Genomic DNA, 24,708 nt, shown 5'->3' on the forward strand with positions numbered 1-24,708 from the left:
CAGTTGTTTAAATTTTCTATTCTGTGCACAAATGGAAAATATTTCCAATAAAAACATAGCAGAAGAACCCTTTGTCTTTCTTTCCCTCCCTCCCCCATCCCCAACCATTCTTGCCAAGTCATACAAACTCTCCATATAATCTAAGTCCCAGATGAACCTAAAATGCTGTATTTTGTCTGGAGGAAGAAATGAACGCACACACTCGATGCTAAAATAAAGAGTAAGATTTTAAATTCCTTACAGACTTACAAATTGACTACATGGAAACAGAGGTTTTTTTCCTTCCTTTCTCTTTAATCATTTCAGTCTGGTTGCTGGTTTTCAAATTTATTGACTTGGAAAATTAAGACTTTCCTATGCGATATTTCATGCTTCTCACTTCATAAAGTCACTGCCCATTTGATTTAAAGACCCAGACTCATACCACTTCATTCTAAAAGGTATGGGACATTTGAATTTATTTTTTATCCACAAACAATTAGCATTTCAAACTCCAGGAGGAGCCACTCACATTGTTTTGTGTAAGTGGAGCCCCCTAGACCCACCCTGGAACTGTGCAGTAGAAGTCCTGACAATAGCTGCTCTGAGAAACAGCAAATATATACCTATTAGTTTGAGCACTAGTCCTCACAATATCTGTGCTCACAGTAATGAGAGAGTCTCTTCTGCTGTTCCTGGAGCACATATGTGAAGGTCATGCATAGAAATGTTTGTCCTGGGAGTCCAGGCTGAGTGCACCCTGAACAGAGCACTCTCTCTTTCAGCCTTTGTAAAGTGATGCCTAGCTCTTATTTTTAAATGACAAAGGGAAGGCAATCCCAGTGTTTGAAGCTCTTCTCCCATCCTAGAGAAGAAACAGGACAGAATAAGGGAATAAGGACTTGGTGAGTGACAGAGGCCAGTGTCAAGAAAAAGACTGAGCAGAACTGGGTGGTAAAGAGCTGCTGCTGGGTCTCTAAGAGAAAAATACAGATCAGGTTATTTTTCAGACAGAAAATGCGTCAATTTGGGGGAGACTGAGTGGAGTGTATTGGAACAGAGAATCGAAACTCCAGCAGTAGGATTAATCCATGGGGAACTCGATTTAGCAGAAGAGAGCAGACACAGAATTTTGATCATGCTATTCATTCATTCACCAAAAATACCTTATGTATCTACTGTGTCAGGCATTGTGCCTGAGGGATTCATCAGTGGAGGCAGACGTGGTCCTTCCCCCCAGGAAGCTTACAGTCCTATGAGCAAGGCTAACATTAAATTATCACACAAATAAGTGTGTGATCTGAAGTATGATAAGCATTATAAAAGAAAAATACATGGCACAAGAAAATGAGAAACAAAGGAGGCATAACCAGACCAAGGATTCAGGCAGCGTCCCCAGGAAAATGATCTTTAAGCCCTTGAAGGATAAGTAGGGTCCTGGGAAGTGAAGAAGTAGAGAAGCATTCTAGGCGAGGGGACAGCACATTGGGAGGCCCTGAGTGTGGAAGAACTTGGCACATTTGAGGCCAGAAAGGAGTCCATGTGAGTGAAGAATGTCACCAGAGAGCTCAGACTGACAACCTGAAATAATCAAAAGGCTCAGAATCCAATTTTAAAGAGCTTATTAAGGCAAAAAGCTGAGAATGACCATCCAGGAGACACAGACCCCAGAGAAATGGGTCATAGCTTCAAAGTTAAAAGTTAAGATCTTGCTAATATAGGCAGAAAACAAAGAAGTTTAGTAGGATCATAACATTTCTATACATGGTTGGTTTATGAGTTACAACAATTCAGTTAGTTTGTTTTCTTGTCCATACAGCTTGTTTTCTTTGCAGCTGGTTTTTATTTCCTTTCCAGTTTAAAAGAGTGTGTTTAACATTTTATCTTAAGACCATGTGATAGCCATGACGTCTTTGTGTGAGAAAGGTAAGAGGGAAATTCATCTGTAATGCAAATCAACAGTAAAGAGGAAAGGGGTCTTCCCTGGAACGCCTCAGTTATTTACAACATTCCTCAAAACAAGGTAAATAAGGAAGAAGGCATATCTGTAATGACAGAAGCAAAGGGTATAGCTGCCTGCTTAACTCTGCTTAACTCTTTGACTCTGACTTGGGTACTATAATTATATTCCTTTAAGGCTCAAACTACTGTAATGTTCTTTAAACAGGAAATCAATAAAAGTAGGCAAAGAACATGAACAGACACTTCTCAAAAGAAGATACACAAGTGGCCCACAAACATATGAAAAAAATGTCCAACACGACTAATCATTAGAGAAGTGCAAATCAAAACCACAATGAGAGATCATCTTCCATCTGTCAGAATGGCTTTTTTAAAAAAAGTCAAAAAATAACAGATGCTGGTGAGGTTGTGGAGAGAAGGGGACACTTATATACTGTTGGTGGGATATAAATTAGTCTAGCCACTGTGGAGAGCGTTTGGAGATTTCTCAAAGAACTGTGAATTGAATTACTATTCAACCCAACAATTCCATTACTGGGTATTTCCCAGCGGAAAATAAATCATTCCACTAAGAGGACACATGCAACTTTATGTTTATCACAGCACTATTCACAATAGCAAAAACATGAAATCAACCCAGGAGCCCATCAACAGTGGATTGGACAAAGAAAAATGTGGTATATGTACACAATGGAATACTATTCAACCATAAAAAAGAATTAAATCATGTCCTTTGCAGCAACATGGGTGGAGTTGGAGGCCATTACTTTAAGCAAACTAACACAGAAACAGAAAACCAAATACCACATATTCTCACTTATGAGTGAGAGCTAAACATTGGATATACATGGACATAAAAATGAGAACAATGGACACTGGGGATTACTAGCAGGGGAGACAAAGAGGGAAGCAAGAGCTGAAAAACTACCTATTGAATACTATCTCACTACTTGGATGATGGGTTAAGTCATACCCCAAACCTCAGCATCACACAATAACAAACCTGCACATGTACCCCTAGATTCTAAGAAAGTTGAAAAAGAAAAAAGAAGAAATAGAAAAGTATTTTGCAGTTTCAACAGCTTAGATGTTGACTTACTTATTTTCATGGCCATAATGTACAGGGATTTCTACAGAGAGCCCCCCTTTCAGGTCCTGAACTTCAGTTCTGAGTCACATCTATTGCAAAAGTGTCACACTGTTCGGCTCAACAACTACAGTGCAAGCGCAGGAAGTCACTTTCCTTTGAGGTCACTGGTCCCCGCCCTGAACCCTTAGCAGCTTATAAATTTATTCGCAAAAGTAATTCAGAGGTATTAGTGGAGGAAGCACCAGGTAACAGTAGACCAATGGCTTTCAAATTGTTGACATTTGGGGCACTGTGTCAGATTACTGGGGTCTCTCTTAACTCACACATTGGCAGCTGCCAAGCCCACCAAGTAGGGGGGCTGGAGGAAAGGGCTGCCAGGCTTATGTCACACCAAAACAGCAGCTGCTCCACAAAGAGCTCTCTTTCCTGGTTGCAGACTAGTAACAGCCCAAGGCAGTCTTGCCTGTGGCTTTACAATCTCTTTGACTTTGTTTCCTAATATTTGGGAATGGGAACAATTTCCACAATGTGAGGTCTCAGAATTATAAATGTTCCAGTTACCTGTTACCTGTTTCATTGCAAGCTCTCCTCGGCTCACAAGACAGGAGATAAGAACTGGTACAAGGAAGCTGCCATCCAGGGCAGGATAAGAGGGGTGACTAAGCTAGTCACCCTGCAGAAGACAGCAGCCTTCTGCAGTCTCTCATTTGCATTGCAAACCCAGACCCTGCAGCACGAGCAGCCAATTGGGAATAAAGGTCCCCAGGGCTAGAGGTTGTCATACTCCATCAAGCAAATAGGTGCAAAAGTTTGTTCATTCCTTGCATTGTAAAATCCAGGAATAGGCTTGGAATTCAAGGGGCCAGACAAAATTTTCTCTGAACTAACTTCTACTAAAATGCTAATGTGAAACTAAATGGAATTCTTCAGATATGTGAGGCTGCTCCAGGACTCTCCAGAAGAGCCTTGGGCAAAATAGACAGTGGATGGCACAACTCTAGCCTTACCTTAAAAGACATTAAACAAAAACTAAAATCAAAAAGGACTCAGTAATGACAGCCTAAATATACAGATGGACAATGGACAGACCACATATAAAATAGAATTCTGACCCACAACCTGCAGCCAACAGCCCAGGAAACCAGCCCATTATCTACATTAACCAGCCTAGAAAACCAGCCTGCTATCAATAACTCAAACTTATGTGAAGTCAGATAACTATCTCTGGTAAAATTCAGGGAACTGAACAATAATCCCTATAGTAATTAGCCCCAAATGGCCAGGACTTGATTAATAATGACAACTTTCCTAGTTTTTGTTCCTGCTTCCAACTTAGAACCAACCAGAGAAAGCCAGATATGCACCCCTAACCAATCACGCAGGATACCTGCCTACATTTTCCCCCTGCCAACAGCCTCAATCAGGGAATAACTAAAGCTCCCCTGCTTTCTGTTACCAGAAAAGGGTCCTGATCCAGACCCCAATAGAGGGTTCTTGGATCTCACACAAGAAAGAATTCAGTGCGAGTCCATAAAGTAAAGTGAAAGCAAGTTTATTAAGAAAGTAAAGGAATAAAGAATGGCTACTCCATAGGCAGAGCAGCTCCCAGGGCTGCTGGTTGCCCATTTTTATGGTTATTTCTTGATTATATGTTAAACGGGTGGATTATTCATGTCTCCCCTTTTTAGACAATATAGGGTAACTTCCTGACATTGCCATGGCATTTGTAAACTGTCATGGCACTGGTGGGAGTGTAGCAGTGAGGATGATCAGAGGTCACTCCATTGCCATCTTGGTTTTTGTGGGTTTTAACTGGCTTCTTTATTGCAATCTGTTTTATCAGCAAAGTCCTTATGACCTGTATCTTGTGCTGACCTCCTATCTCATCCCATGACTTAGAATGCCTAACTGCCTGCGAATGCAGACTAGCAGGTCTTAGCCTTATTTTACCTAGCCCCTATTCAAGGTAAAGCTGCTCTGGTTCAAATGCCTATGACATTTCCACTGTAAAACTTTCCCACTCTGCTGCCTGCTTTTGAGTCTCTGCCAAGACATAAGGGATGGCAGCTGACTCCCTTGATATAACAAGCTGGATAATAGCCTTTGCTTGTTCTCATTTGACTGGTCTTTGTTTATTTCCAAAACACGGTTCCATCACTTGTTGAGCACCTGATCTATCTCTAATCTCTGGACCTCAGCTTCTTCTTCTATAGGGGTTAATACTGCTAACCTCTGCCTCTCCCATAGTATTGTGAGGAAGAAACAAGTGCTTTGTAAACTAAAGCACTGAAGCAATATAAGTTATTACTTTGGATGTTGATAAGGCTCAGGATACATCATCCCAAAAGATGACCATTGGATACCAGGATATACCACCCCAAAATATGCATCTCTGGCATAATGTTTATTTTGAGAAACAGAAGACACAGGAAAGGCTCTGAAACAGTAGCCCTTTTGTAAGAGAAATTTACAACCACAAAGGAAATCTCCATTTTTAAGGATATCTTCTGTGTACTTTCCAGAAAGAGAAGAATGACTGAATCACTAGAGACTTTTATTAATGAAGAAAACATCTTAAATCTGACATTTTTCTGCCTTTAGAAAGCATCTTAAGGACTTAAATCTGCATAACAAACCTTTCCCTGTTTTCCATGCTTTTTCTGGTCATTTCATTTCAACGAGGCCTTTATTCACACCTTTCTTTCTTTTTCCAGAGAATGACGGGATTTAAGCCTGAAGTATAAATTCTTGGAGATCTAGAGATTCACTCATTCATCTGTGTTATCTCTTACATATATAGGGTGCATACATATTCTTAAACATTTTTGTTTTGCTTTGTTTTTGTTAATCTGTCTTTTGTTACAGGGATCTGTCCCAACTAAGAACTATGGGGAGTAGAGATAAAATTATTTTTTCTCCCCTAAAACATCAGTGTTGCTCTTCCACTACTCTCTTCTGCCCTCTTCCTTCCTCCTCTCTTTTAGAATATTCTGGTCTTGGTTCAGCACTTCAATTTGAATATACAAAACATGTGGGAAGGAACATAAATGTATAAATTTAAAATTTCAGAAATAGAGACATGTAGTGATGCAGGATTTTCGCTCCTTAGCTCAGCTACATCTGGGTTCTTGTCTCATGACAAGGAAGAATTAGGCATGTGGACACCAGAGAGTGAGTGGAGTAGAATTTATTAAGCATAAGGAAAGCTCTCAGCAAAAAGAGGGGTCCTGAAAGCAGGTTGCTGGTTGCCCCCTTCACAGTTAAATACCAGGGTTTAAGGCGTGAATTCCTAGTGGCTTCAACCCATCCTTCCAGTGCACATGTGGGCCCTTAGACTGATCCATTCCATATTGATTTATTTCCCTTACTGCACATGTGTTAAGGAATGGAATTTTCAACTGCAGGCATGTTTCAGGCAAGTCTCCTGTGCAAGTTCCCTTATCTGCACAAAACATCTAGTGTAAGCACTTGTGAGGCATGTTGGAGGTTCTCCAGGGACCCGTCCCTTACTGTCTGCCTAAAGCAAGCTGTCTAACTCCTTTCATTAGTACTTTACTGTAATGCCTCTTAGCCCCTCTTCCTATCCTGCCCCCCTCCACCTAAGCTTCTTTTCTATTTGGGACCTTGAGTTTCTCTTTTCCTCTTTCTCTCTCCTTTCATTCCTCGTTGTTGGTAGTTTCTATTCTCTAATGCTAGATTGAAGATTTTAAAATTATAAAAGTCTGCAAAGTTTTCCCCATTTGAGGACAAATCTCAGTCTGGTAGGTCTGAGAGCATCTTAAAAGAAATACAGTTTCATTATTTCCAAGAATAAAAAGGTAACACTGGTTGAAAGGGGAATAAGAAAGTCTTGTGTGCTTTAATGGATCAGAGTTGTAATTAGCTTATTCATTATTTGGATGAAAAGTCAGGCTCACAAATAGATGAGCATTTCCCTTGTTTGTGCTCTTAATTCCATCAGCAAACCTTATTCTCTTAGATGTGATGCATAATATCCCATTACAGAGTAATATTCATCAAAAAAATTAATCCCAGGGTCTCCTATAATAGCAAATATTAATCCCTGGGACTTGCCCAGGGCTTTGTTGACATGATTGCAATAAATCTTCCAAGCATAATAACTGTTAGAAGAAGGCAAATATGAAAGAAAAATTTCTAAAAGTAGCCTAAGATGGCTGCAGTTTGGACATATAGACAACAGAAATAAGGCCTATGCATTAAAGCTGAGCTCTCGCCTGCAAGGCTGGAGTCTGTCAAATATTTCACTGGCATGTACTGATTACTACTTTGCCTATCAGATGAAGCACAAAGTAAGGATAGAGCTAATCATTCGTCTCCAAATCCTAAGATGCCTACATACTCATTAACATTTTACTTTATATAAGCTTGCTTTATCTTATGTACGACATCACTGAGCACCAATTAGAACTATAAACATGTCACCTTTGCTTCAGTGCCTCCTTCTCCTATTTCTATGTATCAGAACATATAAATACTGTGCCTCATGTAGGCAACCCTGGGACACATTCTTGGTTTGTGCTGAATCTGTGTTCCTGGGCTATTAGTTTTCAATCTTGGCTCAAACTAAAATTAACTTTAAATTTTTGTAGGTGTATAATGCCTGTTATTTAACCATTCAGCCAACATAACTTTGTATAGTAGATGTCATTGGGGCAGCCAGGTCTGCCTTGCTTTTGTGGGTCTAGAGTGATGATTCCTGTGCAGGGGTTCTCAACCCTGAGTACACATCAGAATCATCTGGAGGGTTTGCTAAAATACACATTGCTCCTACACTCCGAAACCATCTTTACAAAAATTATGACAGTGAAAGAACTTTGACCTCCGTTTTGCTTCTAACTTCTAAGCTGCCCTTGCTTATTCCTGGGCATAGGACTGTCTGACTACAGGAGGAATTTAGTTTATAACTTAACTTTGAAACAAAGATGATAACAGCCTCTTCCCCAAACAAACCCCCTTTTTGTTTAGGAATCAGACTTCCTCTGTAAAACTAACAAATTAGCCACAAATTTAGAAATTATGGCTCAGGAGTCATTCAGCCGGAAGCCACAAGATTCCTAACCTCCCCAATTGCTCCTATGGATAACATCACTACTATAAATCTTAAGATTGGATTGGTGTTCGAGGTGTTTTTCAGCTTATTGGTGTCACCCAGACAAATAAACTGGCTCATCTGGTCTCATGGCCCCCACCCAGCAACTGACTCAGCACAAGAAGACAAGCTCCAACTCCCTATTTTTATCCCTGACTCAACTGATCATCATTCCTCATTCCCTAGCTTCTTGTCCGCCAAAATATTCTTAAAAAAATTCTAGCCTACGAATTTTCAGGGAAGCTGATTTGAGTAATAACAAAGCTCCAGTCTACCATTTAGTCAGCTCTGCATTTAGTAAACTCTTTCTCTATTGCGATAATGCTGTCTCAGTAAATCAGCTTTTCTGGGCAGCAGGCAAAATGAAGCCATCAGGTCATTACAACTCCCACCTCTCAAATTTTGAGTCAGTAGGGGTGTGGAGCCTGATGATTTGGATTTCTAAAAGGTTCTCAGGTGCTGCTTCTGATCCAGGGACTAGGCAATGAGAACCCCTGCCTTAAAGGATTGGAACTAACTTGAGCCCAGATGAAGCAACCCTCCTCCACTGATACACGCTACCAAGTTATGGGATTTCTTACCTGGACCAAGCTTCTTATCCTTAGAATACAAGAGATAGCCAAAACTTAGTTCACACTAAGGTACAAATAACTGGCATTAGCTCTTACCAGAGCCTACCTTGAGAGGTTTGAGGGGAGAATGCTATGAGTGAGTCAGCTGAAATGGCAGGGCCAAAGGGGCAGAGAAAGGGGGTGGTGCACACTGAAACTGAGTCTACACCATTTTGTCTAGCCCCAGCTAGCTTTCTCTACAAAAGAGGGTCTCCCCACAAGGAAATGCTGGTTTCTATCATCCTTAGATGGTAAGTGAAGTGGCTTACTCCTAAAATCTTAGCACTTCGGGGGGCTGAGGCAGATGGATCACTTTGAGCTCATGAGTTCAAGACCAGCCTGGCCAACATGGTGAAACTCCATCTTTACAAAAAAGACAAAAATTAGCCAGGCATTGGTGGTACATGCCTGTAGTCTCAGCTATTCAGGATGCTGAGGCTGGAGAATTGCTTGAGCCCAGGAAGTGGAGGTTGCAGTGGGCCAAGATTGCATGTCCAGACTGGGTGACAGAGTGAGACCCTGTCTCAAAAAATAAAAAAATGGAAAAAATAAATAAATGGGAAAGACAAGGTGTATTAAATTATCCTGGATCCTTTGTGCCCCAACCCGCTAGTCACCTATAATCATTTCTTGTACTGGAGAGTTCTTACAGTTTGACTTTAGTTTCTTACATTGTAACATTTAAATCAGAAAGGATGGAAGTCATATTTAAAAACTGGTATGTTTTAATTTAGATGTCAAATGAACTGGACAGATTGGTATCAGTCAACTTGACCTGGAGCTCCAATAAGGCTTTGGTTCCTAAATATCACTAAATTGCATGCACTGAGCATGATAAAGCATTCATTAGGTTCCCACTTCTCTGAGCAGGTCTGAGGGATACCTAAGAAAGAAATAAGCTCTTGCTCATACGATAACTTGGGATAGAAGGAACTGTGAGGAGGATGATTCAACAGGCTTGGAGAAAAGTAAGGAACTCAGAAGAGAGCTGAGTCCAGGAAAGACACCCACCTGTGGTGGTGCATTTCTTGCCTGTTCAGATGATGAGTTGAAGTCCCTCTTGATTTCCTTGACTTCCTTAGTAAGACAACCAAGCAATCAAAATATGTGGGGTCAGAGACAAGTCTGGCCCCAAGTGGCACTATAGGGGCATAGGGTAGCTGGAGAGCAGTGGTTGTATGGGAGATGCAGAAAGTTTCTACCTCAGGACACTTTCTCCAGTTTCAGGGCTTTATAACAACTTTCAACGTAATGTGTGGATATGATAGTTGTCAAGACAATGATGAAAGAGTTTAAAAATGAACGCAAGACTTTCTATTGTAGATTTATTCTATTTCTTCAAGTTCTTTGATTCATTTGTAAGTTGGCTAATAGTGGAATAAAAATAGATGCTATTATATAAGCGTCAATTGTAGGTTGATTATCTGGGATGCCCAAGCTAGTGGTGAAAAGAGCACAATTTCTGAGCCAAATAGCAAGAATGTAATTGCCTCTAGAAAGAATTTTGTTGAAAATGTAGGTAAGCAGATCCTAATGAGTCAAATCTAGATTGGTATAGACTTGATTTTCCTGTGGATATATTTAACTGTGGTAATTGTAATTATTACCAATACAGACACACAATAGTTTTTCTATTGTGCTTATGTAAAATAATTTTGCACATAATGAAGTGCAATTACAAGGGCATGGTCATGAAAAATACAGCAATATTTCTATAATAGGAGAAGCTGCATTTTGAAACTATGGTTGGAATGGGTGAACCATTATGGCACAAGGGAGTTTAACCAATCAATCAATTTGACAAAGTTGTATAATAACTTTTAGTAATAATTCATCTGCTTAAAAAAAGTCATAGTGTTATTGAAGGCAATTTTAAAGAATTTGATTTTCAAGGGGCTGGGTGTTTTGCTGTTTCAAGTGTTTTGAGTACTTAAGCTTTCACAAAGGTTGGTTCTTGAAATATTTTATATCGTAGAGGGCATACTTCTTGCTTTGAGGCAAATACTTCTCTGATTATAAATATTATTAGTATTCCTGCTACTACTGAAATAAATCACCCTATAGATGAGACAGCATTTCATGCCGAATAAGCATGTAGAGTCTAGATAGGCTGAGCATTGACACAGCATGATAGAAAGACTATGTTGTGTTAAATTAACACCTCAAAGTACCTTTATAAGGTGGGCCTTTGGATCATGTAGCATATGGTGTATATTCTGAAAATAATGGAAATCAATCCACAAAGCCACCTATTCTTATAGATAAGACATAGTAGAAATGGGAAAAAATACTATAATATATATTGTGATGATTAATTTTACATGTCCACTTGGCTAGGCCACAGTACCCAGATATTTGGTCAAACTTCTGGATGCTGCTATGAAGATATTTTTAAAATGAGATTAACATTTATATCAGTAGACTTTGAATAAAGCAGATTATCCCGCATAATGTTGGTGGACCTCATCCAATCAGTTGAAGGCCTTATGAAAAAGACAGTGGTCTCCAAAGAAAGATGAAATTCTGGAAGCCACTGCCTTTGGACTAGAGCTGCAATATCACCTCTTCTTTGAGGCTCCATCTGTCAGCTTGTAGAGTAAGGGAGGCCAGCAGGTTGGAAACTCAGGCAGGAGTTAATGCTGCAGTTCACAGGCAGAATTTCTTCTTCTACAGGTGCCATAAATGTGTTTAATATAGTTGCTGCCTCAGCATCCATTTTTAGACCTGACATGAATGTTTTGAAACCCAGTTGTGCTCGGTCACCTTTGGCCTGTTAAAAATTTGTTTGTGGTATAGACCGCTTGTTCCTCATCTCACTGACCCAAAACCCAACACATCCTGCTGCTCCTGACCACAATAAACCTAATGGTCAATACTAGAGTTATAAAAATTTAAGTTCCCCACTTCTTGTGTGTTTTCTTTAAACTAGCCAATTCACATACTCTGCCGAAAAGTCTACGAGATAATGCTCATGGACCTCAGTAAAGGCATAATCCCGCAGGTCCTCTCACTGTCTCTTGCTCCGCACTCGCTGGCTGAGCTCCCTGCCACCTCTAGACTTCCCATCAGCTCCCCATTGGCACCCCTAGCCTTTCTTGGTTTTGTAAGTAATGAATCTCTTCTGTTTCATGAATGGTTTCACCACCTCATTGTGTCTCACCTGACTGACACATCCAAACCTAATTTTCTCCCATCCTAGGCTCTCCTGCAGAATGGCTGTCTTGGCTTATGGCTGCTCTCAACAGAGAGACCTCAAAACTAAATTGTAAAGAAACCATAACAATAAAAATTACAACAGAAAACCTCAGTTTTTGCTCTTAAAGGCTTCTAACTGATTGGATAAAGCCCACTCACATTATCAAGGGCAATCCCCTTTACTTAAAGTCAACTTGATTGTAAATGTTAACCAAAAAATATCTTCACAGCAACACCTAGATTAGTGTTTGATGAAATAACCGGGGACTATAGACTAGCCAAGTTGACACACAAAACTAACCATCACACCCTCCAACATAATAGGAAACTAAAGCCTACTAAGGCTTATTGTATATCTGGCAGTAATTGTATTTCTTCTATGTAAATTAGCTAGTCAGCTGAAAATTGTTACCCTTATTGGCAAAACAATAATTAGCGTAGCAGATGGGAAGTATGCTATTGTGTCTAGGACTGTTTCTATGGCAAATGTATGATATGCTCATACAATATATCCTACAAATCCAACTGATGGTGTTGCTCATGTTATTTCTATATAGCCAAAGGATTATCTTGGTTCCTGAATAATATGCTAAACAAAAATTTTCCAAATCTACATAAAATTAGAATAAATCCTTTTGTAATTTCTAAGAATCAGAATAAATATTGATATGAAACTGAGTCTTCGCTCTCACTTGATCAAAGAAAACATGTTAATTAGCACAATTGTTATAGCTTAAAGTACTGGGAGCGACAATTAATACATAGCAATTAATACATAGTATATAAAAATGAAAATGGTGTCTTGTTTGGGCTATACCAGATGGTCTTATGTTAACAATTGTGGTAATAAAATTAATGGCATCTGAAATGAGAAATACTTGCTAAGTGAAGGGAGAAGGTAGTTAAGTACTTAGGTGCCTGCATATACTAGGTTGCTAGCTAATGCAGGTACATTCTTCATCCTGTTCCAGCTCTTCAGACCGTTAAGAAGAAACTCAAAGGATGAAACTTTATTCCAGTAGGTGAAAAGGCACAAGGCCTTTCTGCAATTCTGTAGGCATCACAAAAAGCCAGCCTTAAGGAATTTATGCAAAATTATTTAGGTGAAAATAATCTGCCAAGGAAGCTCTACTTTGAACCAGCATTATCCCCTGCCTTCTGTCAGTGCCATCTCACATTCCAGGTACATCTGTCCTCAAGAATCAGAGTGAGGTTGTGGCTCACTCTGCAGCCAGGAGTGTGCCTCCAAACATTGAGCAACCGGCTCTGTGCCTCCAAACCTACTCAGCTCTTCTACTCACCTCAAACTGCTCCAGCCACTTCCTGAAGGGGCCACTTAGAATCATCTAGGGGGCATTTTCAAGCCAATCCCTCTTTCTGCTTCAAGATCTAGGGGCCAGGTGGGGATTTAAAACACTTGAATTTTTATTAATCTCCCACCTTGAGAACAAACGCTGGGTTCAACTCTACTAACAGAACAAGTTATCTTCATGGGTCTTCGAGAAGATTACAGGTTGGGAACCCAAGGTTATAGCTGGAGATCTTTGGCATACCCACTGGTATATTAACCAGATATCAAGGCCTTTCATGATCTGGTATCTTCCTACATTTCTGACATCCTCTCTCATCACTATTTTCCACTCCTTTTCTCACACTTTACTTAAGTAGGACCAAGGACTCTACTCATGTTCCCAACAATCACATCATGCTTATCCCCTGACACTCACACTTTTAACATGCCATTTCCAATAACCAGAAAGCATTTTCCCTCTTTGACATCTTGGATAGTCCATCCTTGTTCTTCAAGCCCCAGCTTGATGAAAGCTGTGAAGTCTTCCCTGCCCTGTCCTGGCATAAGTAACTACTTCCTTGCCTGTGTTTCTACATCATCACACCATTGTACTGCTAGATTTGCCCACATCTGTCACCCACCTGGTAAACATCCTAATGGCAGAAGCCATATCCCAACCATATTTGTATGCCTTAATCTTTTAATCTCCTATCACAAGACCTGGCATAGAGCAGGTACCCAATAAATGCTTGTTGAGAAAATAATTAAAGATTATAATCCTCAACCGTATGTGTGGTGTTTGTCACAGTGGCCAATTCCATTCCCTTCTGCTTTCCTCCCCTCTCCACCCCACGGGGTCACCTGTAACAGAATTGAAAAGAACAAGGATACAAGTCTTTTCCACTGGAAATCTATCCAGACTCAGATAGCTCCCCTCCTAGATGATTTACAGACCTTCCTTTGAGGGTAAGCCTTGTCTCCCTGAGGCAGGACCAAAATGCACTGCACTTCATTTGCCTTTTTTTCCTCAAGGGTTCCCTTCCACAAGTTATACTTTGAAGTTTTACCCATTTCTGGCACTACCTGCAAGCAAACCAGGAGGGCACTTGGCAACCAACTTGGTGCCCTCTTCATTCCTCACAAGGCTATGGAGCTGTTCTATAAACCAAGCCCTTCCACAGGCTGGCTTGGGAATGCCTTTCTGTTACTTGTGTGAAGATCTCTGTACTTTTCAAAGCTGTTTCACATGTAGCATTTCATTTGACCATCACATCGCAATGCAAAATAAGCAGAGTAGATCCAGTAGTCCCACTTTTCAGATGCTGATGAAGAGATACCAAGAATTCCCAGCCACTAGGTTAGGACCCTAACCGAAAATAGACCTCAGATCCTGAGACACCTAGTCCCTTGCCCCACACACGATACCATATCAATACATTCCAAACGATTTCTAAGATCATCTTATCCAGTACAAGCTAACTCAGCTAACCATTTCCTGTACTAGTCCAAGGAATGCCCCGCTCAGGAAGCAACACTAGCAGCAGAGTTGGTGAGCTAAGCTAGAAATACTAGTTTTAAAAAGTAACAACTGGAAGTCCATTGTTAGATATTGCTGGAATTGGGATGTGAGTATACTGAAAATATTTTTTATTTTTCTTCAGTTAAAAATTTCATGCTCTAGAGCCCTAGGGTTTAAAATTTTTTTCTTTCATTTACCTAATATCTGTCAAATGGCATATTGTTTCAGGAGACCAGCAGAGGTTCTATATTTCAGCTGCCAACAAAGGGCATTCTGAGGCACCAGCTCCCAGCTCAGAACCTCTATTCTGAGATGTTAAAAGGTAGCTGAAGAAGAGAAAGGGTGATCTTTTTTTCCCCAGGAAGCCATAGTACAGTTTATTTTCCTACAGTCTATTCTGCCTCAAACTCTCTCTCGCTCTCTCTTTCAATTTTAGTTCTTAAAGGAAAATCATCTTATCCCATTCAAGATGAAATTAGAGGGATGCTTCTTCAAAGAACACTAATGAATGACTGACATTGTCAGGGAAAAGTTAAATACTCTAATGACCTTTCCCTTGTTTTTGGCAAGAATTCATCTTTAAAGAAAAGAAGTATGGGCTTTGCAAAGCTGAAGTGATTTGTCTTATTTCTCCAAGGTGAAGTGACCCACACCATTTCATCATTCCAGACTAGCCATTATGTGAGGTTTCAAAATGAAATGTGATTGCTGAAAGCTAAAAATCAAACATACCACAATGAAAAGTCATATTCAATTTTTTTATCCTTCTCATTTGCATTTTTCCATCCTTCCTGTTTACATCTTCTTCAGCTTGCCAGAATGAGACTATTTTATAAAACCAAGTGTTTAGATGTGGGCCTGTCTGCCACAATGTCCCTGTATATGGAAAAGGACTGGTAGGAAAATCTCAAATATTTTCCTTATCACCCTCCTACCCCCACCTTACACATCTCAGAACCCTGACTCTGTTCCTTAGGAATGGACAGAGCCTAAATTTTGTTTTCCTAGTAACCATAATCCTTTGTAAAAATCACTTTTAAAACATTGAGAAGGACAAGAGTCAATTTGCCTACTCCAAAGTTCTATAGATTTCCCAACATTCTGCCTAATTTATTGCATTTTACAACTTTCTTACACAATATAGAACTTCATATACACTTTTTTGCTTCTTCCCTTTTATTCCTGGATAACTTCTTTAGACTCAGTTTACATATGATGTAAGACGGTGCTCTCTATTTGTCCTCCGATGGAATGCTCTGCAGAGGCTGAGCATCTGAAGGCCAAGGTTTGAGTCCTAGTTTTTCTTCTCATTAGCTTATAACTTCGGGAAAAAAAAAAGGGAGAACTTAAGCTCACTCAGTCTGAGTGTTCTTATCTATAAAATATGGACAATAATAATACCTTCTTCATTGTGCTTTAAGGTGATTCAATGATATAATTCATGTGAAACCCTTAAGATAATGCCTTGGATTTGATAAATGTCCAATAATGCCAGTTATTAATATAGTTGTTATTATAAACTTACGTTATGTTGTAATTTATGTTTGTATCTGTACCCCCTTACTATACCACATACTCTTTAAGAACAGGGAATATGACTTTCAGGCCTGGAAAATTATGCTTATAAAAATATAAAAATTATGTCAAGCAAAGTATCTTGCACAGAGTGGGCCTTCAAAATATAATAAAGAATGAATGATGAAAGAGATCAGGTTTAGTGGGGTATCCATGACAGAGTTGTGTTACCTAAACCTAACCAGGTCTCAGCACAAAGCTTTAAGACCACCCCAAAAGCTCTGAGAAATTCAAGGCACTCAGAGGCTCAAGAGGTATTTGTACCAACTCTGTGACTCACATCATAAACACAATAAAAACTACATAGTTAAAATTATGGACTGTAAGGTCAGAAACTTGAAACTTATCTCTGCGACTTAATTGTTACTTGACTTTAAATTCCGCAAGCCAGTTTTTTCATCTATAGAATGTTAATAAGTATACTACTACTTCATTGATTTGTTACGGGAATTAAGAAAAATAATTCACCAGTAGTACTTAGCATAATTCTTGGTATATAATAAGTGGTCAATAAATAAAGTTCACTGGCAATGAAAAAAAGTATTTTCCATAATTTTAATATTATCTCTTTTCATTCTTTTTCTCCTCTCCTTTTGAGATTCTACTTAAATATATGTTAGATCTTTTCATTAACTCCCACATATTTTCTTTTCTTTTTAGAGATGAGGTCTTGGTATGTTGCCCAGGCTGGACTGCAGTGGTTATTCACAGATGTGATCTCATTACTAATCAACACAAGAGTTTTGACTTGCTCCATTTCCGACTTGACCAGTTCACACCTCCTTAGTCAACCTGGCAGTCCCCACTCCCGGGAGGTCACCATATTGATCCTGAACTCAGCGCAGATACCTGTTTGGCATAACACAATACAGCCCAGAACCCTGGACTCAAGCGATCCTCCTGCCTCCCAAGTAGTTAGGACTATAGGTACACTTTGCCACACTCAGTGAGACCCATATATTTCTAAAACTTGTCTCTGTATTTTCAATTCTGTTTTCTGTATATGTTTCAGTTTGAAAATATTTTATAGACCTATCTTCAGCCTATTCCATTTTATGAGACTTCTCCCTCTACACTACTGAGTAGATCCTCATTCTATTAAGACCTTAAAGTGAGGGAATTTTTCTAGTGTGTTTTTCAGAAGTTCAATTTTGAGAACACCAAGAAATAAGCTCTGGAAAAATATATCTCATTTAATTTCTCTTACTTTTTATTACATGGATTATTATTCCTATCTGGAATTCAACGTTTTTCTCTTCTTTATTATTTTGGTTTCAATTTTCTCTATGCTATCAAATTTATTTGTGGGCCTGCTTTTAAAACCAAGACTAGATATCTCGATAGATGCAGAAAAGGCCTTTGACAAAATTCAACAACACTTCATGCTAAAAACTCTCAATAAATTAGGTATTGATGGGACATATTTCAAAATAATAAGAGCTATCTATGACAAACCCACAGCCAATATCATACTGAATGGGAAAAAACTGGAAGCATTCCCTTTGAAAACTGGCACAAGACAGGGATGCCCTCTCTCACCACTAATATTCAACATAGTGTTGGAAGTGCTGGCCAGGGCAATTAGGCAGGAGAAGGAAATAAAGGGTATTCAATTAGGAAAAGAGGAAGTCAAATTGTCCCTGTTTGCAGATGACATGATTGTATATCTAGAAAACCCCATTGTCTCAGCCCAAAATCTCCTTCAGCTGATAAGCAACTTCAGCAAAGTCTCAGGATACAAAATCAATGTGCAAAAATCACAAGCATTCTTATACACGAATAACAGACAAACAGAGAGCCAAATCATGAGTGAACTCCCATTCACAATTGCTTCAAAGAGAATAAAATACCTAGGAATCCAACTTACAAGGGATGTGAAGGACCTCTTCAAGGAGAACTACAAACTGCTGCTCAATGAAATAAAAGAGGATACAAACAAATGGAAGAACATTCCATGCTCATGGGTAGGAAGAATCAATATCGTGAAAATGGCCATACTGCCCAAGGTAATTTACAGATTCAATGCCATCCTCATCAAGCTACCAATGCCTTTCTTCACCGAATTGGAAAAAACTACTTTAAAGTTCATATGGAACCAAAAAAGAGCCCACATTGCCAAGTCAATCCTAAGCCAAAAGAACAAAGCTGGAGGCATCACATTACCTGACTTCAAACTATACTACAAGGCTACAGTAACCAAAACAGCATGGTACTGGTACCAAAACAGAGATATAGATCAATGGAACAGAACAGAGCCCTCAGAAATAACGCCGCATATCTAAAACTATCTGATCTTTGACAAACCTGAGAAAAACAAGCAATGGGGAAAGGATTCCCTATTTAATAAATGGTGCTGGGAAAACTGGCTAGCCATATGTAGAAAGCTGAAACTGGATCCCTTCCTTACACCTTATACAAAAATCAATTCAAGATGGATTAAAGACTTAAACGTTAGACCTAAAACCATAAAAACCCTAGAAGAAAACCTAGGCATTACCATTCAGGACATAGGCATGGGCAAGGACTTCATGTCTAAAACACCAAAAGCAGTGGCAACAAAAGCCAAAATTGACAAATGGGATCTAATTAAACTAAAGAGCTTCTGCACAGCAAAAGAAACTACCATCAGAGTGAACAGGCAACCTACAAAATGGGAGAAAAGTTTTGCAACCTACTCATCTGACAAAGGGCTAATATCCAGAATCTACAATGAACTCAAACAAATATACAAGAAAAAAACAAACAACCCCATCAAAAAGTGGGTGAAGGACATGAACAGACACTTCTCAAAAGAAGACATTTATGCAGCCAAAAAACACATGAAAAAATGCTCACCATCACTGGCCATCAGAGAAATGCAAATCAAAACCACAATGAGATACCATCTCACACCAGTTAGAATGGCAATCATTAAAAAGTCAGGAAACAACAGGTGCTGGAGAGGACGTGGAGAGGTAGGAACACTTTTACACTGTTGGTGGGACTGTAAACTAGTTCAACCATTGTGGAAGTCAGTGTGGCGATTCCTCAGGGATCTAGAACTAGAGATACCATTTGACCCAGCCATCCCATTACTGGGTATATACCCAAAGGACTATAAATCTTGCTGCTATAAAGACACATGCACACGTATGTTTATTGCGGCATTATTCACAATAGCAAAGGCTTGGAACCAAGCCAAATGTCCAACAATGATAGACTGGATTAAGAAAATGTGGCACATATACACCATGGAATACTATGCAGCCATAAAAAATGATGAGTTCATGTCCTTTGTAAGGACATGGATGAAATTGGAAATCATCATTCTCAGTAAACTATCGCAAGAACAAAAAACCAAACACCGCATATTTTCTCTCATAGGTGGGAATTGAACAATGAGATCACATGGACACAGGAAGGGGAACATCACACTCTGGGGACTGTTGTGGGGTGGGGGGAGGGGGGAGGGATAGCATTGGGAGATATACCTAATGCTAGATGACGAGTTAGTGGGTGCAGCACACCAGCATGGCACATGTATACATACTTAACTAACCTGCACAATGTGCACATGTACCCTAAAACTTAAAGTATAATAAAAAAAAATAAATTAAAAAAATAATAATAAAATTAAAAAAAAAAAAAGAATATCTAAGGCAAAAAAAAAAAAACAAAACCAAGACTAGATATTCACCACCAGCATCAGGAGCTTCTGTTATAACCAATAGAAAATCTGGATAATATGGGTAAGAAAGCTAAGCATTTTTCAGTATACTTAAGAGCTATAGTAGGAATATTTTGACCCCCCACTCCCAAAAAAAAAAAAAATCACGCCTACGTTTCTTTCTGGGAATGGTGAGAAAGATCCAGTATCATCTAAGAGAAGAAAGAAAGAAACATCGCATGAGAATTAACAGAATTAATTCATCTTCAACTTCAAACATAGTATTAAGTGTGTATTATAAAAAGCTAAAAACCAAGAAACAAAACCTTCTATGCTTTTAAAAATGTAACATTGGAACAGCCAAATATCATTTAAACTCTTCTGGATGAAGAGTTTTAGTGATATGTAAAAATTTATAAACCTGGGACATGAGAAAGTATAAAGCCTGCATCTTTGGGTTATTGATATTCTGAATAGAAATAAGTTCATTCCAGGCAAATAAATATGGGAAGGCCACTACAGAAGTGTTTCATATTCATTTAAGTAATTACTCCTCCTTAAGGAAAATAGCTTACAACTGTAATGAGACAGTGAGGGAACTCATGCAAGTTAAAATGCCTTCAAGTACAACCAATAGCCTGGGGAACCCAGAGAAGGAAGACATGTGCTTAGAAACTATCCAGCCTGGCAACCCTTAGGAAACGGTTCCAGAAATAGGAACGTTTTGGCCCCTTCAACTGTTCTAACAAGGACTGCAGCAACTCATCTGCTGCCATTGCCAACCACAGCACCCAACCTAGAAAAATGTGGCAGTCTCTGAGAAGAAACTTAAAACTAGAGGTAGAGTTGGGAGGGAGTTTGGAAAATGAGCAGAAATAACTACATAGAGAAAAATATGAGTAAATACAGTACAATTCTCTCATCAATGGCTCATCAAGAACCAAAAATAGTCCTCCCCCCATAGTTTTCTATTAATGGACTACAAAGTCCCTTTAATATTAATAGTAATCATTCTTTTCAGATTGTATTTGAGAAGAAAATGAGTAACTTGTTTCAGAATTCCTAGGAAAATTTTCTGACTTTCATCTCTTCAATACTGTCTGCTCCATTTTTTGCTTTCTGCCACTAAACAAAGCAGGTTAAGCATTAACTGAGAAATGAGAAAACTTCCTCAAGCATTCCCAGCATAGTGTCATGAGACCCTTGCAAATCCAAAAGAATGTCAATGTTTCCATCTATGTAAGTGGGCATTTAAAAGGAAGAAAAATTAATGAGAAGGAATTTATTAAGTATGTTCATAAGCACAGACATTTTTGCACAAAATGAACAAGCAAATAAAACTCTGATCGCCTTATCAAACAGAGGCAAGAATGGCTAGACTCAGATTATTTTTCCTGGGATGAAAGATTTCTAAGCAAGTAACACGGTTTTGTTTACTATTGTTGACTATGGGAGATTCTGAAAAGGGCAGTCACTGAAACAAGCTAGGTAGCACAATATCAACTCCATTATCTGTAGCCATTTGAATTTTTATTTTCACTAAAAGTTATTTCATTCTCTGCCCGCCCCACTCCTATCACAACAGACCTGGTACTAATACCTCCATAGCTCCTTTTTTGCTCTTTGATGCAATGAAATTAGTTGTTCCAGAATATTTTGCATGACTAACAAGAAAGAAATTGAATAAAATATTGTAATTCACAAATCTCACTTGGCAAAATGACGTGCATATGAATCAACATTTTTGGTGAAGGCCCCCAAATCCTTTTAGTCACTCACTGAATTCACTCAGTGTTCCACGTATGAATACATTCAGAGTAATAATGTATTTCCAAAGTGCCTCATTTAACAACGATAGTTAAAAAATAATAATTCAGCAAGTAATTGCAATGTTAAGCCTCATTCAAATCTTCAAGGCAGAGACGTAGGGATCAGTCATAATCTCTTTCTCCTAAAGCTATCAAGGTGAAAGCCTAAAGGAGAAAAGCACCCAGCCTCTAGACATATAAATGATGTCATTCTGCTCAAAAAAGGACTGTTAACACACATGCACATTCATAAACATTTTAGAAGACAGTGCAATAAAATGAACAGACCCTGAACAGTGCTTTGGAGTAGGGAATATCTAAACTTGAATCCAAGCTCTCACCATGGTCAAATCACTCTTAACCTTGGTTCAATCATTTAACTGGCCGGGCGCGGGGGCTCAAGCCTGTAATCCCAGCATTTTGGGAGGCCAAGGCAGGCAGATCACGAAGTCAGGAGATCGAGACCATCCTGGCTAACACGGTGAAACCCTGTCTCTACTAAAGATACCAAAAATTAGCCAGGCATGGTGGGGGGAGCCTGCAGTCCCAGCTACTCGGGAGGCTGAGGCAAGAGATGGCGTGAACCCGGGAGGCGGAGCTTGCAGTGAGCCAAGATCGCGCCACTGCACTCCAGCCTGGGTGACAGAGCAGACTCCATCTCAAAAAAAAAAAATTTTTTTTAAATAAATCATTTAACCTTGTCAAACTTCAAGTCCTTCAACTGGAAAATGGAGGTAATAATAGCTACCTCCTGGAGTTTTGCAAGGATTACTATGGCATTATACATATATGAACATCCAATGGCAGTCATCACAACTTTTCATCTCCACCTATAACAGGTTAGCAAGCAAGAATAAAATAACTGTAACTCAAAAAATGTCTCTTAAATTATATATGGTCTTTCAAACCATATGCCCTCTGCCTTGTGGAAAAAAAGGGGATACATACGTTCCCTAAAGAGCAAATGGAAAGGGTAGGACAGTAAAGTCTAGATACAAACTGTTTTACTGTTAGCTCACCAGACATATAGAGTCTAAAAGAATATATAAAACAATTTCCTGAGATTTGACTTCTTACTGGAGTGAGACCTTAGTTCTCAGCTCTTGGCACACCCACATAGCCAGCACCTTAGAGACGGAAGAGAAACCTCCTCTCCCTTGGACATCTGACTCCATCTTTATCTTCACGAAGCCTCTTTAGACCATAAAGAAGTTCCTTTTTATTTTTGCACCTTTAGAATCATGCCTTTCTGTGTGCAAATAATCATCTCTTTACCCATCAAATATCATCTTGGTAGTTCTTAGGCAGAGTGTTCTGGGAGGTAGAGGAGAGGAAGGGCAGAGGGAAAGAGGTTTTCATAGATGCAACATGTCCTCACAAGATGCACTATCTTTTTGATGATGAGCACTTTCATGCTGCACAGAAATCCTATATCTCCAATGTGTTCTTTTAATTTTTTAAAACTCTTCTATTCACTGAAATCCAACATGTTCTTATGCATTTTTCAACCAGTAAGAAAAAAAGAAGAGAGCCACCCTGCCATGTCCCCCTCCATGAAAACTTCCCAATCCTCACAAAGGCCAATATCCCTCCTTAACTCCAGTGAGGTGTCTCCACACATACTTTGGCTACATTACTCAGTCTTTAGGCTTGTCACAGTTAGTTTCCAAGACCAACAGCTTATGCACAGCTGAGAATTGCCCTTTACCACCAGCACTTCTGTTGCCATGGGCACACACACCATGAGTCCCCTCCCTACTTCCAGGATACCATTTGCAGTCCCATCTGATCGCTGCTGGCTCCAAACTTAAATTTTTACAAGTGGTGCTCTTCCTTCTTTTTTAGGAATAGTAGACATCACACCACACATCTGAGAGAAGGAACCAGTGAACCCCCAAGCTCCCAACTTTAAGGGTCACCAGACTCTCATGCTCCCACTGCCCATCTCTCCCTACTTCTAGCTAGATTAACCTCCTCATGGGATATATGATCAGCCTCCTGACAAGTGGTAGGTCCTCTCCCCACCAGTTCCCAGAGGAAGAGCAGAGAACATATCGAGCCCTGGCTTTGTCCAATATTCAAACAAACTTTATAAACTTGATGGTATATTAGCTGGCCTTTTATTAATCTGAATGCTGGGTTCAAATCACATTTAGTGCACATTGATTCATTATTCTGGCTTACTGATGCCTCTGTAGGTGATAATGGACTAGTACTAGACTTTTTAATCCCAAACAATTGAAACTCTTTTGCTGGTAAATAGCTTTCAAAATTTCTTCCTTGATCAGAATAGACCCAAGAGAGAAATAACTAAATTCTTATAATTTGTTTTTCCTGAACTTGCATGGTATGTGGGAAAGGGAGTGGGGTGGGAAGAGGGCAAACAGTTATTTGCCACCAATATATTACGAAGGATTCAGATGTCTAGTCTTCAAAGAAAAAAGTCAACATGGACTAATTTTAGGGGTTTGCTGATTGAATGTTTTCTAGATGGGCTGCCTTTGAGAAACATACTTTCCTTGAGTGCAGCAGACCTAGCGGGTTCATTTTGTCACCACAGTCTCCACCGTCATAAGCAGAATAACTGCCCTAAGTACCTTCAGTATTCCCTTCCTCTCCAAGTGGCTTGAGTCATCATGCAACACCCTGGGTCCCAGAGGGCACTATTTCCAAATGCCCCCATAGCCCATGTATGGTGCACTCAACAACTTTATACAACACCACGTTTCTCGGACCCTCCTGATTCTGGAAAAGCCAGGTAACTTCTCTGCTGCTGGGTTTACTTTCCCCCTTTCTCTTCTGCCCACAGCTCTGAGGCTTCTCATTAAGAGTTTGCCCACCTCTTTCCCACAGTGGGAGTGGGGAGGATCCTTGCCTGACAAAATTTCTGAACGGAATTGGATATCTCTCCAAGGCTGAACC

At 39.5% G+C, this 24,708-nt stretch overlaps 1 pseudogene, besides 4 other annotated features; it reads right to left on the reverse strand.

Annotated features, from left to right (window-relative positions):
* Positions 537-831: a silencer, noted in NCBI's record as "tiled region #3680; HepG2 Repressive DNase matched - State 13:Ctcf". NCBI's record gives its function as "represses a minimal TATA promoter and a strong SV40 promoter by Sharpr-MPRA in HepG2 cells {active_cell/tissue: HepG2}" and the evidence as "EXISTENCE:reporter gene assay evidence [ECO:0000049][PMID:27701403]".
* Positions 537-1,144: a biological region, named in NCBI's record as "Sharpr-MPRA regulatory region 3680".
* Positions 542-1,144: an enhancer, noted in NCBI's record as "NANOG-H3K27ac-H3K4me1 hESC enhancer chr3:155138874-155139476 (GRCh37/hg19 assembly coordinates)". NCBI's record gives its function as "activates a minimal SCP1, AML or CMV promoter by ChIP-STARR-seq in naive H9 embryonic stem cells {active_cell/tissue: H9 hESC(naive)}" and the evidence as "EXISTENCE:reporter gene assay evidence [ECO:0000049][PMID:30033119]".
* Positions 1,145-1,746: an enhancer, noted in NCBI's record as "H3K27ac-H3K4me1 hESC enhancer chr3:155139477-155140078 (GRCh37/hg19 assembly coordinates)". NCBI's record gives its function as "activates a minimal SCP1, AML or CMV promoter by ChIP-STARR-seq in naive H9 embryonic stem cells {active_cell/tissue: H9 hESC(naive)}" and the evidence as "EXISTENCE:reporter gene assay evidence [ECO:0000049][PMID:30033119]".
* RN7SL715P (RNA, 7SL, cytoplasmic 715, pseudogene) lies at positions 16,995-17,280 on the reverse strand (annotated as a pseudogene).

The sequence above is a fragment of the Homo sapiens genome, chromosome 3, assembly GCF_000001405.40.
Source record: "Homo sapiens chromosome 3, GRCh38.p14 Primary Assembly".
In the NCBI taxonomy this organism is placed as follows: Eukaryota; Metazoa; Chordata; class Mammalia; order Primates; family Hominidae; genus Homo; species Homo sapiens.